General features: G+C 43.9%; 1 protein-coding gene across 5 annotated transcripts in view; it reads left to right on the top strand.

The window, feature by feature from the left end:
- The window catches only part of IL5RA (interleukin 5 receptor subunit alpha), a 44,051-nt gene extending 34,360 nt beyond the window's left edge, over nucleotides 1–9,691 (top strand). For 2 of the 5 annotated variants that reach the window (XM_011533677.2, XM_011533678.3), the window contains exons 11-13: nucleotides 1,149–1,233; nucleotides 2,189–2,245; nucleotides 5,704–9,691. In XM_011533677.2, the coding sequence (XP_011531979.1) occupies nucleotides 1,149–1,233; nucleotides 2,189–2,245; nucleotides 5,704–5,790 (229 nt within the window). In that variant the 3' untranslated portion in view covers nucleotides 5,791–9,691. The remainder of the gene's footprint in view (nucleotides 1–1,148; nucleotides 1,234–2,188; nucleotides 2,246–5,703) is intronic. The other 3 variants (NM_175726.4, NM_000564.5, NM_001243099.2) reach the window with 2 other exon arrangements.

Raw genomic sequence — 14,074 nt, 5'->3', positions numbered from 1 at the left:
GTCCATAAGTATCCCTTACCCATTTTAGCATTCAGTAAGGCACAAGACCTTTTAGGAGGCTTAAAAACATGTTTTGTCTTGGCCCTTTCATAATTTAGAAAATGAGTTTTATAAGGTCCGGGTGTGGGGGCTCACTCCTGTAATCCCAGCACTTTGGGAGGCCACAGCGGGTGGACCATGAGGTCAGGAGATCGAGACCACCCTGGCTAATGTGGTGAAACCCCGTCTCTACTAAAAATACAAAAAATTAGCTGGGCGTGGTGGTACGTGCCTGTATTCCCAGCTACTTGGAAGGCTGAGGCAGTAGAATCACTTGAACCTGGGAGTTGGAGGCTATAGTGAGCCAAGATCGTACCATTGCACTCCAGCCTGGGGGACAGAGTGAGACTGTGTCTCAAAAAAAAAAAAAAGACTTTTCTATTAAACAGCTTTACTATTATAAACGTTATATTCGGATGGCATCTACAGTTTGGGGGAAGGCAGTACAAAGGAGATGAAAAGAAAGTAAACTCGGCTGGGGATGGTGACTCATGCCTGTAATCTCAGCACTTTGGGAGGCTGAGGCTGGAGGATCACTTGAGGTCAAGAGTTCGAGACCAGCCTGGGCAACATGGTGAAACCCTGTCTCTACAAAAAATACAAAAATTAGCTGAGCGCAGTGGCATGTGCCTGTAGTCCCAGCTACTCAGGAGGCTGAGGCAGGAGAATTGCTTGAGCCCGAGAGGTGGAGATTGCAATAAGCCACGATGGCGCCACTGCACTCCAGCCTGGGTGACAGAGCAAGACCAAAAAAAAAAAAAAAAAAAAAAAAGTAAGTAAACTCTGTGAGTAAACATAATTGAGGAAGGAATGCTTCAATCAGCACCACCCACTTGAAATATACAGTTCGTTTTCAGATATTAGGCCTGGTAACACCCACTGACACAAAGCAGTTTCCATTTGGTCTTCCCTGGATGACTCAGGGCCACAGCAGAGGCTTGCGGTACCCACAAAGTCTTCACCTATAATTTTGGAAGTCTTGGTACGTAAAGATTTTGAATTTACAAAACAGCAGGTTCTAGAATCAACCAGGTCAATTTTTAGAGTAGATATTTAGAGACAAAAGGTATACTCATGCTCACCTAATTCCTTCTTTACTCTGTTTTCAGATGTCATTTATGGATCAAGTTGTTTCCACCAATTCCAGCACCAAAAAGTAATATCAAAGATCTCTTTGTAACCACTAACTATGAGGTAATGTTGAAAGTTCTTATGATATGCCGTATGTGTCCAGGGTTGAGTCCCCTGGGAGCTGTCATTCGGTTCTTAGTTTTCTATATTATAAGGCAGGGTTTTTACTCAGAAGGCCAGGAGCATTTCTGTTGCTTCAGTCATTCTGTTCTTTGGCTGATTCAGTTGTTTGTATTTTTTAAGAGATGGGGTCTTGCTATGTTGTCCAGGCTGGTCTCAAACACCTGGGTCTAAGCGATCCTCCCACCTCAGCCTCCCAAGTAGCTGGGACTGCAGAAGCATGCCACCATGCCTGCTTGCCTGATTGTTTTATTATGCACGTTCATTACTCTTCTGACATATTGGAAAGGTACTGAGTTATAAGTGTTCTTGACAGTTAGACTTAAATTTTAATTTCATATCAGCCATGCCTTAACTGACTTTGGACAATCTCTTCAACCCTCTGAGTTCTGAATTTCTTTCTGGTATAATAAGGGACACAGATGAGATTGTACAATGTTCTGCTTAGCTCTAATGTTTTAAGACTCCATGTTTCCACATGAATATCTTAGTTAATAGAGAATTTTCAGAGGGAACTTTAGCTCTTTAGTATAAAAAAGACCATAGAAAAGGCAAATTATTTTACCCAATATGCATTTTCTTAGGCCTGTTCACCATTCAGAGCGCTTAGGTTCAGCCCAGTGGTCACTTAGTTATGGCTCTCCAATTGTTCCAGCATCATTTGTTGGAGTAAATCATCCTTTCCCCAGTGAATTGCCTTGGCATTTCTGTAGGAAATTAGTTGCTGTATGTAGTTGGTTCTATTTCTGGACTATCTGATTGGTTTTATCGATCTATTTGTCTATCTTTATGCCAATACAATACTGTCTTGATTACTGTAGCTTTATCGTAAACCACGAGACCATTTGTGGAAGGCCTCCAAAAGTGATTTTTTAAAAATTTGTTTTGGTTATTGTAGGTCCTCTGCATTTTCATATACATCTTAGATTCAGCTGACAATTTTCTACAAAAAAAGGTAGCTGGGATTTGGGGTGAGATTGTGTTGAGTTGTCAGTTAATTTGGGGAAAAGTGACATCCTAAGTCTTATCTATAAACATAGCATATCACTCCATTTATTTAGGTTTTCTTTACCTTCTCTCAGCAATGGTTTGTGATTTTTCAGTGTATGATTATTGCACTTTGTCAAATTTATCCTTAAGGTGAACGGTTATTTAGATCAGGGCTCAAGAAACTTTTTCTGTAAAGGGCCAGGTAGTAAATATTTGAGGGACAAATGGTTTCTGTCTCACCTCTTCAACTCTGCCATTGTAGTGTGAAAGTAGCCACAGAAAATGTGCTAATGAATGAGCGTGGCTGTGCTCCAGTAAAACTTCATTTTCCAAAACAGGCAACAAGCCAGATTTGGCCCGCGGCTGTAGTTTGCCAACCCTTGATTTAGATCAAACAGTTTTCTTAGCAAATTTAGGTTTCTCTCAAATGAAGTAACTCATGATTGGATGAACCACCTGGTGACTGGTTGTAGGGAAAAGAAAGCGTTCGTGGAAAAACTCACCAAAATGATTAATTTCAATAAGTGGTGAACTTTCCTTAGCATTTGCAGTTTGGGTATTGGAAGGATTTATAGACAGTTACAGTTACTAGCTGACTGAAGTAGAGAATGGAGGCTGGCAAAAGAATCATTCTGCCCATGGTTGGATCTTTGTGTTCTCCTTTATCAGGGGAATGGCCCATCTGCTCTTGTTCACTGAGTTCTTTGGGAAGAAGAGTGGGCCCCAGGGTGGAGCTTTGGTGCCTGTTCTGGATGTGTGCTGCCAGTCCCTCCTTGCTCTAGCACACTTACCCCTGAGTAACCACATCTGGTTTTGTTTGTTTGAGATGGAGTCTCGCTTTGTCACCCAAGCTGGAGTGCAGTGGAACCATCTCGGCTCACTGCAACCTCCACCTCCCGGGTTTAAGTGATTCTCCTGCCTCAGCCTCCCATATAGCTGGGATTACAGGTGCCCGCCACCACGCCCAGCTAATTTTTGTATTTTTAGTAGAGACAGGGTTACGCCATGTTGGCCAGGCTGGTCTTGAACTCCTGACCTCAAGTGATCCAGCCTTCCCAAAGTGCTGGGATTACAGGCATGAGCCACTGCACCCAGCCCACATCTAGTTTAAGCAGCCAACTGAAGTCATTTGTCCTGGCCTCTTAATGGAACATCTTAATGCTGGTATCTAATTTCCCTACAGAGCCCCAAAAGATTTCCTTTAATATTCCGAAGTTGGTGAAATAAACTGGTATAAAAGCTTATTGTATAAGGTTGTGATTTGTTGTTAATTAAAATCAAGTCATGTGTGTAAAATAACAACTTGGGGCAGACAAGCTGGTTTCAGAATAAGCAGAGGATGAATGACGGCACTCCACAGCGCCTGGCTTCTCAGGACAACTTATTCTCTTCTCACATTGCAGAGTTTCACATAAAAACAAAGCAGTTAGAGACTGAGAGAAGAAAGAAAGAGCACACAGAATGGGAGAAATGAAGTACTGCCTGGTGCTGTGGGCTCTATGGCCTAAATTCTCCACCTGAGAGGGGATGAGAGCCAGTGCAGAGCTGCCTACAGCTGGGCCCCATGAGGCCGTGCACAGCCTCCACGTCCAAGGACAAAAGCCATCCAACCCATTCTCAGAGGCTGTGCTACAAGGGTGACAAGAGGGCACATTGGTGCTATGGGCAGTGGCCACTGGGAAATGTTTGGCTAGTGGGAAAGGAAACCCTCTGCTTTTCATGGTAATGTGCACCTCTGAGCTTGGGGTGGGTGCCCAAAGTCCCAGGACTTAGAGGAGCTCTGCCACCCTAGAAGCAAGTTTTTGCTTGTTCAGACCTCAGTTAGAAATTTGGACGTCAGTGAAGGGCCGGTCACAGTGGCTCATACCTGTAATCCCAGCACTTTGAGAGGCCAAAATGGGCAGATCATTTGACCTCACAAGTTTGAAACCAGCCTGGCCAACATGGCAAAACCCCATCTCTGCAAAAAATACAAAAATTACTCAGGCACGGTGGTGCACACCTGTAGCCTCAGATACTCGGGAGGCTGAGGTGGGAAGATGGCTTGAGCCCAGGAGGCGGAGGTTGCAGTGAGCTGAGATTGTGCCACTGCACTGCAGCTTGGGTGATGTAGCCAGAACTTGCCAAAAAAAAAAAATACACACACACACACACACACACACACACACACACACACACACACTGTGAAGGAAGAAAGTTGGCCTTTAGCAGTCAAAAAGAAAGGCTTATTCTAAAAAAGCATATCCTGAATTTTCTGATAATTTACTTATTTAGACAATTTTTATAGAGACAAGATCTCACCAGGCTGGTCTCCAACTCCTGGGCTCAAGCTATGCGCCTGCTTCAGCCTCCCAAAGTGTTGGGATTACAGGCATGAGCCACGCCACCTGGCCTGAGCTTTCAATTTATGAGACTGGTTTCCAGCTGTTCCTTGTTTCTACAATGGCCAAGAGAGGGTTCCTCCTCCAATTAGGTTGCCCGTAAACTATTAACAGTAAAATGGATAAAGGCAGGAGCCATGCCTGCTGTGTGCATCAGTGAATTCCCGAGACACGGCACTGTGGCTAGTGTGGAGCAGATAGTAAAAAATATTTTGGATGAGTAAATGAGATAAAGGAATAGGATCTCTTACAGGCAATTTTATTTTTTGTTACCAATTTTCCAATTATTATCAGCACTATTCATTATAGCCAAAATGGGTCAGAACTGTCCAAAGTTAGGGGGATACTGTAGTAAATTATGGAAGGAATATGATGAAGCTATCAAAAGTGATGCCGCCAAAGCACATTTAACAATGTAATTTACAATCAGTGATGTCAGAGAGAAAAAAATCAATTTTTAAAGATGTGTATCCGGCCGGGCGTGGTGGCTCATGCCTGTAATCCCAGCATTTTGGGAGGCCGAGGCGGGGGGATCACAAGGTCAAGAGTTCGAGACCAGCCTGGCCAACATGGTGAAACCCCGTTTCTACTAAAAATACAAAAATTAGCCGGGCATGGTGGTGTGTACTTGTAGTCCCAGCTACTTGGGAGGCTGAGGCAGGAGAATCACTTGAACCTGGGAGGTGGAGGTTGCAGTGAGCCGACATCATGCCACTGTACTCCAGCCAGGGTGACAAGAGTGAGACTCTGTCTAAAAAAAAAAAAAAAAAAAAAAAAAGATGTGTATCCATATGACTTCAAGTAAGTCTAAAGAAAACATTATGCCTAGAAAGAAAGGCTTAGGAGAAGCAGTGGGCTGTGTTTGGGAGATAGATGTATGGCTAGGTATTTTCTTCTTCTTCCCACTTTATTTTTCACATCTTCTTTGTGAACATTTACTATTTTTATTTAAAAAATAATAGACTTAAAGCCAATTGTAAAGATTTCAAAGAACCCAAAAGTTCTCTAAAAGACATCTAAGGAAAGATGATTTGTTTTGCAGAAAGCTGGGTCCAGTGAGACGGAAATTGAAGTCATCTGTTATATAGAGAAGCCTGGAGTTGAGACCCTGGAGGATTCTGTGTTTTGACTGTCACTTTGGCATCCTCTGATGAACTCACACATGCCTCAGTGCCTCAGTGAAAAGAACAGGGATGCTGGCTCTTGGCTAAGAGGTGTTCAGAATTTAGGCAACACTCAATTTACCTGCGAAGCAATACACCCAGACACACCAGTCTTGTATCTCTTAAAAGTATGGATGCTTCATCCAAATCGCCTCACCTACAGCAGGGAAGTTGACTCATCCAAGCATTTTGCCATGTTTTTTCTCCCCATGCCGTACAGGGTAGCACCTCCTCACCTGCCAATCTTTGCAATTTGCTTGACTCACCTCAGACTTTTCATTCACAACAGACAGCTTTTAAGGCTAACGTCCAGCTGTATTTACTTCTGGCTGTGCCCGTTTGGCTGTTTAAGCTGCCAATTGTAGCACTCAGCTACCATCTGAGGAAGAAAGCATTTTGCATCAGCCTGGAGTGAACCATGAACTTGGATTCAAGACTGTCTTTTCTATAGCAAGTGAGAGCCACAAATTCCTCACCCCCCTACATTCTAGAATGATCTTTTTCTAGGTAGATTGTGTATGTGTGTGTATGAGAGAGAGAGAGAGAGAGAGAGAGAGAGAAATTATCTCAAGCTCCAGAGGCCTGATCCAGGATACATCATTTGAAACCAACTAATTTAAAAGCATAATAGAGCTAATATATCACCCCATATCAAAAGAGACGACAGATTTTGTTCAAATATTATATTCTTGAAGGAAGCCTTAATATTCTGGAAATGTGCTGAGGAAGTCATTGAGCATAATTCAATCATGAAAGGGACCACTGAATCAAGAATGAACTTTCTGAAGAGATGTTTGCTGCCAAAGACTTCAGAACAACTTGTTGGTCAAGTAATGCCAGATCAATCCTAGTCTCTCAAGTTTGGAAAAGTTTCTACAAGGCCATTCCATCAAATATCCCAATATACACAGAAATTCTTCTTCCTAACATCTTCATATATGAGTCTGCATCCAGATTGGAGGCCTTTGTGGTGGGTGGTGGACTGCAGGTGGAACCAAGCACAGGTGTGCCCTGGGCAGAGGTGGGCAAGAGGAAGGAACCCAAACAGTGCTGATTCCACATGGCCCTTGGTCAAGAAGCTGAAGGCCTAGAAAGGAGGTAACAGTGCCCAGAATCCCCACCTGGCACACTCTTTAAATGCTTTCTGGAGGTGTTTTAGTCAGTTTTGATCCATCGGTGGGGACACACTGACTACCATATATTTCCAGGTTTGTTTGTTTTCTTAACTAACCTGTAATTATCCACTGTAACTAGCAGAGGGTTGAACCCTGGGTAATAGGCACAGAAACATCTTGAATCTTGACAAGCCTGCACTGTCTTATAGTAATCTGTATTACTGTCCCATTTTATAGTTGCAGTTACTAAGGTTCAGAGAAGTTGATAGGAAATGGCATAGTGAGGAGTTGAATACCAGGCTCAGGTAAAAGTGACCCCAGAAATGTGCAGAGGAGTGTCAGGGAAAGCTGAGGCCTGCTTAGGGGTGTGGCTGAGAAGGCAACACCCATGGAGGTGCTGCAATAGTTGGCAAAATGTTTAAAATGTTTGGTCACTCAAATGATTCATAATCTCAAACCTGTTTTTGTTTTTTTTTTTTTTTTTTTTTGTGGGGTGGGTGGTGGAGACAGTCTTGTTCTGTCTCCCAGGCTAGAGTGTAGTGATGTGATCTTAGCTCACTACAACCTCCCTGTCCTGGGCTCAAGCCATCCTCCTCCCTCACCCTCCCAAGTAGCTGGGACTACAGGTGCATAACACCATTCCCAGCTCTTTTTTGTATTTTTTTTTGTAAAGCTGGGGTTTTGCCATGCTGTCTAGGTTCATCTCGAACTCCTGGGCTCAAGCGATACACCGGCCTCAGCCTTCCAAAGTACTGGGATTACAGGCATGAACCACCATTCCTGGCCAGGAAACTGTATTTGTAATGAACACCTTAGGTCAGAATCAGAGGCGCCTGGAGGGCTCCTTAAGACACAGAGGAGTGGGCTCCATTCTTAGAGTCTCTAACTGAATAGGTCTGGGTGAGGTCTGAAAAGCTGCGTTTCTAACAAGTTCTCAGGTGATGCTCATGCTGCTGGTCTCCAGGACACACTCGGAGAACTGCTGCTCCAGGAGAGTCTTATGAATACCAAAATTTGAAAATCAGCCGCTGAAGGAAGATGTGACAGAAAAGTCCTGTCCCCAGAAAACTGTCCTTTTGGGGCGGCTTGGAGCACCCTGTCTGATCTCTTTCAAACCACAACCCAGACAGTTGGCATTGTGGAAACTGCCTCTGCTTAGGAGGCAGGAACAGAAGCAGGGAGCTCCCCCTCCACAAATGTGGCCAGCTCTTCAGTGCTTGGTGTGGTGCCCACTTCAGACTCCTCCCTCCACTCAGCAGCCATAGATCACCTGGGCTCTGTGGAGCTCCTTGCCACACTTCCCTGAGCTGGTACCGTTATCTGGCCCTTGGTATATGTGTTTCAGGAGCAACACAAAGTAGCCCATTGGCCTCCTTGGTGGATTGGGAACTCCTTCCTCCCTTCTTGCCCTGTGCAACTCATAGTCATTCTTTGGGAACCCGTAACCATCATCACTTCCTCCATGAAGCCTTCAAAAGCAGAGTTGGTTGATCCCGCCTCTGGATTCTCATTCTGGGCCTCATACCCGTGTTAGAGCTACTGCATTGTAGAATATACCATTAACAGCTGGGAGGCCTCCCCTCTAGACTGCGGCTTCCAGGAGGATGGAGCTTGTGTGAAATACGTCTTTTTATCTGCAGTGTCTAGGACAGTATCTGACTTAAGAAAATATAAATGTTTCTTAAACCCTCTGTCAGCCCTGATACGGCACCTTGTATATAGGTTAGACTGAACAGTATTTGGCAGAGATCCTCAAGGCCTACAATAATGACAGGGGGAGGAAGCTGGGTATCTAATGAGAATGCGGTTAGTTAGAAGCAACCAGGAGACACATGTGCCTAACAACTGGGCTACTGCAACCTGGATGTTTTTGCTGCCAAAGTGTCTAAATGGTTATGTATAAATTGCTGTGTAAGAGGCATTTCAGAAGTGGCTCACTGTGAGTGGTCTATACTGTTCTCACCAGCCTTGTCATAGCAAGTCAAAGAGTTTGAAATTCACTTAACAGTAAACACCATCAGCAGCAGGTTGATGTAAGGTAAAGTCATGATATTGGCTCCCATCTCTTGCCATCTCTCACTAGGACGAGTGTAGAGAGTCACTTTTCTCCTAGAGCCTCCACAGCCACGGGATCAGAACAAACATGCTTTTCCAAGATATCCGTTCCAATAGGGATTTTTAGCCCAATTTCTTTCCTTGGCATTTGGAATTCACTGCGTGCAGCATGGGGGAGTGCTGGGGAGACTGGAGGGTGAAGGTCACATTTGCCAACAGCCCGACCACCTGAGCCTCATTGAAATGCCTCAGACCTCAAGCTATTCATGCAGGCTGGGGAAGAATCCACGTGGGCAAAGAACATCCTGATTAAAAATCCAAACGTTTTCATGGTGAGACTTCTATGTGTCAGGACCATCTGCTGGTGGAATTAAGAAGCCTGAGGTGCTAATTTGTTAAAGAAAAAGTAGATATCTGGAAGTGAGAACAGAGAACTGAAAACAATCTCTGATGGCACAAGTAAAGGTGAAAAACCTAATTAGAATAGGACTTGGTGCTAGCCTAAGGACTGTAGCTATTCCTGCTTCTACATCCTTCAAATTGAGTACCAGGGTGCAAATTTTTTCAAAACCATTCCTTCCTTTGGAATTTTGTATTGTACTATAAGACAATCATGCTTATCTCCTGTTTTGTAGGTAATAGATGTGAATATAAATATGTTTCAGAATGAGAAATATTAAACATAAATGACAGTGAATTGTCTAAGTCTGCAATTAAAGAGGGGTGGGTACCTTTCTCATTTTTCCCCTAAATATTCCCCTTCTCTGTCCCCACCATTGTCTTCCTCCATCTCTCAGCTAGGACTATTACAGTAGCCTCTGAACTGAACTCATGGCCTCCAGTATTTCCTCCCTTTGAAGGATCAATGTAAAAGGCACATCTGCCTATATAACTCCCCATCACCTTCAAGTTAAAGCTCCTTTTAAGGCAAAGTCCACTATGACTCAGCTCCTTACTAGCTCTCCAGGCACATACCCAAATACTCCTACCTCCATTCTCACCAATGTGCTGATGATTTCCCTGTAGCTCCATGCTACTGCATCACTCCATGCCTCTGCCGAAACTTTCTCTGGTGGAAAAAGCCTTTTCAACCTCTTTTCATTTTGTTGACATTTTGATTTATCTTCTAAGTCTCGGCTCTTTGCCACCTGAAAATCTTTGCTCAACTTCCAGTTTGAATTAAGTGTCCCTCTATGTTCCTTTTGTTTAATTCTATCAGTGATTGGACTTTCATTTATTTATTTATTTTGAGACAGAGTCTGACTCTGTCGCCCAGGCTGGAGTGCGGTGGCGAGATCTCGGTTCACTGCAATCGCCGCCTCCGGGTCTCAAGCCATTCTCCTGCCTCAGCCTCCCCAGTAGCTGGGCCTACAGGCACGTGCCACCACAGCCAGCTAATTTTTATATTTTTAGCAGAGACGGGTTTTCACCATGTTGGCCAGGATGGTCTCGATCTCCTGACCTCGTGATCCACCCGCCTCGGCCTCCCAAAGTGCTGGGATGACAGGCGTGAGCCACCGCACCTGGCCTGGACTCCTCACCAATGCTCTGTCTCGTTTCCAGTGCAAACACTCTGAGGCCAAGAGCAGTGTCTGACTTATCTTTGTGTCCATAAGCCCCAAGGAGGAACTGACTGCTGGTTGAGTAACCAGACGAAGGAAAAGGAAGTGAGCTTATTAAACATTTAAAAGAACGGAAAACAATATAGATTCTAAAGAACTATGTTCTAATGGTAGGTTCATTTATTAAAGCTGTGTGGTTATAGCAGAAGTTAAATCGTCACTGGAGCTTAAATTAATGAAGTAGTAAAAACTCACAGTGGGTGTGATGCTGGTCTCAGAAACGCTGCCCTCCACCTCCGCGGCCGGCATCACCCACCATTTGGCTCTCAGTAGACATCTGCGTTGTTGGTTGTCAGGAGCAACACAAAGCCGCCCATATGGCCCATGTGCATGATTTTAAAGTTCTAGCGGACTCTTTTCAACTTGAAGGTGTTTTATTAGGTTTGTTTCATTTATTAAAATTAAAAGCAAAGATTTGTCCCTGCCAAGTAATAAACTGGAAGAACACAGAAACCTGAGGGGAAAATTGCAAGAACGAAATCAGCAATAAAGTACTGGTGTCGTAGTTTAAAGGTCGGCAAGCTGCTGCTGCCTTTTTTTTTTTTTTTTTAAGACAGGGTCTCCTGTCTCACCCAGGCTGGAAAGGCTGGAGTGCAGTGCTGTGATCACCGTTCACTCCAGCCTCGACCTCCCGGGCTCAAATGATCCTCCCACCTCAGCCTCTCGCGTAGCTGGGACCACATGGGTGTGCCACCATGCCCAGCTAATTTATAAAATTTTTTTGTAGACACAGGGTCTCCCATGTTGCCCAGGCTGGTCTTGAACTACTGGGCTCAAGTGATCATCCAGCCCTTGGCCTCCCAAAGTGTTGGAATTACAGGCACGAGCCAGCAAACTCTTCTTAAAGGGCTAGATAGTAAATATTTTCAGCTTTGAGGACCATATGGTCTTTGTGGCAGCCACTCAGTTCTTCCGTGATAGCACAGAGTGGCCGTAGGCAATCTATAAATCAGCATGGCTATGTTGCAATAAATCTTGATTTACAAAAAAAGCGGGCAATGAGCTAGATTTTCCCAGAGGGCCAATATTGACACATGGCTTAATGGATTCAAAATATTTATGAATGTGTTTTTCTTTTTTTTAAGAAAAGCAACCAATTTGGGAAAATAATCATGTTTAATCAAATGAAAATATTCTATCCTGGGGGATCAATGGTAAAAAAAATTGTGTTTGACTGAACTTAACCTCATTATAAGTAGGTTTTGCAAGAAACACAGGTCCAGCATTGTGTTCATACCTTTATCTGTCACACTATTCACACCATCCTTCAATAAGTGTATTTCTGTCTCCTTCAGTGAACCATGAGGGAAGCCTTAACCCTATTTATCTCAGTTTCTCCAGTGCCCAGCAAGTGCTTGACACATAGTATGCACTCAATATCTTATTTGTTAACCACTAAATTCAAGAGGAACAACTGGGCCAATTCTAACTGCCAGTTATTTGGTCTCGGATATTTGGTCCCAACACTGCAGTTGATAAACGATGCGTCCACTACATAGTTTTCCAACGAGCTGTGCTGTGGCCTATGTTCCTGGCAACAAACCCATTTTTTTAAGCTTTCAGAATATTTCTGGAATCCCTTCCACCTGCTTTAACACCTTCTTGCCACATAATGTGGGCCTTTGCTGGGGAAAGATTCCCTTGTCTTAAAACTCTTTTCTGGGCTGGGTGCGGTGCCTCACGCCTGTCATCTCAGCACTTTGAGAAGCCAAGGTGGGTGGATCACCTGAGATCAGGGGTTCGAGACCAGCCTGACCAACATGGAGAAACCCGTCTCTACTAAAAATACAAAATTAGCCAGGCGTGGCGGCGCATGCTTGTAATCCCAGCTACTCAGGACGCTGAGGCAGGAGAATCACTTGAACCCGGGAGGCGGAGGTTGCAGTGAGCCGAGATTGCGCCATTGCACTCTATCCTGGGCAACAAGAGCAAAATTCCGTCTCAAAAAACAAACAAAAAAAAAACAAAACCTCTTTTCTGCCAGCTCTAAGAGGAACTTCACCCACCAGCCCTGTCTCTCTGGACACACACACATCCCATCCTCACACCATCCAAGGAAAAGTGGGAAGGAGAGTTCAGCAAACGAAACAGAACTCAAAACAGCAAACTTCATGTCTCGCCCTCAGAGCCATTGACCTTCAGAGATCTGACAACACATTCGCAAGACCCTGAAATTTTGAATTACAAATTAATTACTTCAATGAGAGTAATGAAGACCTCCTGGTGTCAGGTTGCCAGATTTAGCAAATAAAAATAAGAGGCTCAGTTAAAGTTGAATTTCAAATAAATATCACATGGGGCATACTTATACTAAGGAAGCATAATTTTTTTTTTATCTGAAATCTAAGTTTAATAGCTCCTCTCCTATTTTATTGGGTAATCCTGATCTTGAAGGGTAGCCGGAGTTTAAAGAAACAGCTCTAAGACACCTGAAGTCAAGGACAACGAACACGCAAAAAACAACATTTGCAGTCAAGGAAAGAGAAGCAGAGAAGCTGAGCCACTTTAGAGCAGACTGAAGCTCATGACTGCCTTTCCTTCTTGTTGCTATATGGGAACCGTATCTATCTGTCTATTTATCTATCTACCTACCTTATTGTTTATGTATCATCTATTTACAGATAGAGACATCTAATGTTTTGGAGTAGGGCCCTAAACCCAAGCCACCAGCATTTCAATTCCTGGTCTCTCTGATCAACTGTGTGATCAGGGACAAATGTGAACCTGTCAACCTCAATCCTCTGTGTATAAAATAGGAATAATAAATGGTAACTAAATCGGTAGGTTGATTTGCACTGAGTCTGGCACATATTATAAGCATAATCACTGTTTACTATTATTATTATCATTGCATTTCTCTGTATTGTGACAAAATACTGTTACTGGTGCCTTGGCTTCCTCACACACATCTGAATGCCACATCATTCTTCTATGCCCAGAATAGTGCCTGGTACAGAGAGGGCTGCCAGTAGTCCCTTGCTGAATAACTAAAACCCTCTCCAGGCACCTATCCTATCCCATTCCTCCAGATGGCTGTGCCCTGGGCCTGGCCGGCACTCAGAACTTCTCCACCTCCAGCATCTGAACCTCAGACATCTCACCCTTCTACCTCACCATTTCCTCTGGCCTACCTACTTGTCCTAGAATGTTCTCTAGTTGAACTTCAGAGTCTAGTTCCTTACTCCATCCTGTCCTTTCTCTAAGTACTTATTTCTAGGTGTATGAAATGCACTAATGAGTCTATGTTCTAAATTCTAGTCCTTCTTTTTTTTTTTTTCTTTTGTTTGAGACAGAGTCTCACTCTCTTGCCCAGGCTAGAGTGCAGTAGGGCAATCTCAGCTCACTACAACCTCTGCCTCCCAGGTTCAAGCAATCCTCCTGCCTCAGCCTCCTGGGTAACTGGGACTACAAGCACGTGCCACCATGCCCAGCTAATTTTTGTATTTTTAGTAGGAATG

Source organism: Homo sapiens, chromosome 3 (assembly GCF_000001405.40).
Source record: "Homo sapiens chromosome 3, GRCh38.p14 Primary Assembly".
Taxonomy (NCBI): Eukaryota; Metazoa; Chordata; class Mammalia; order Primates; family Hominidae; genus Homo; species Homo sapiens.
The sequence above is the reverse complement of the archived record's forward strand: the minus strand, read 5'-3'. Positions and strand labels throughout refer to the sequence as shown.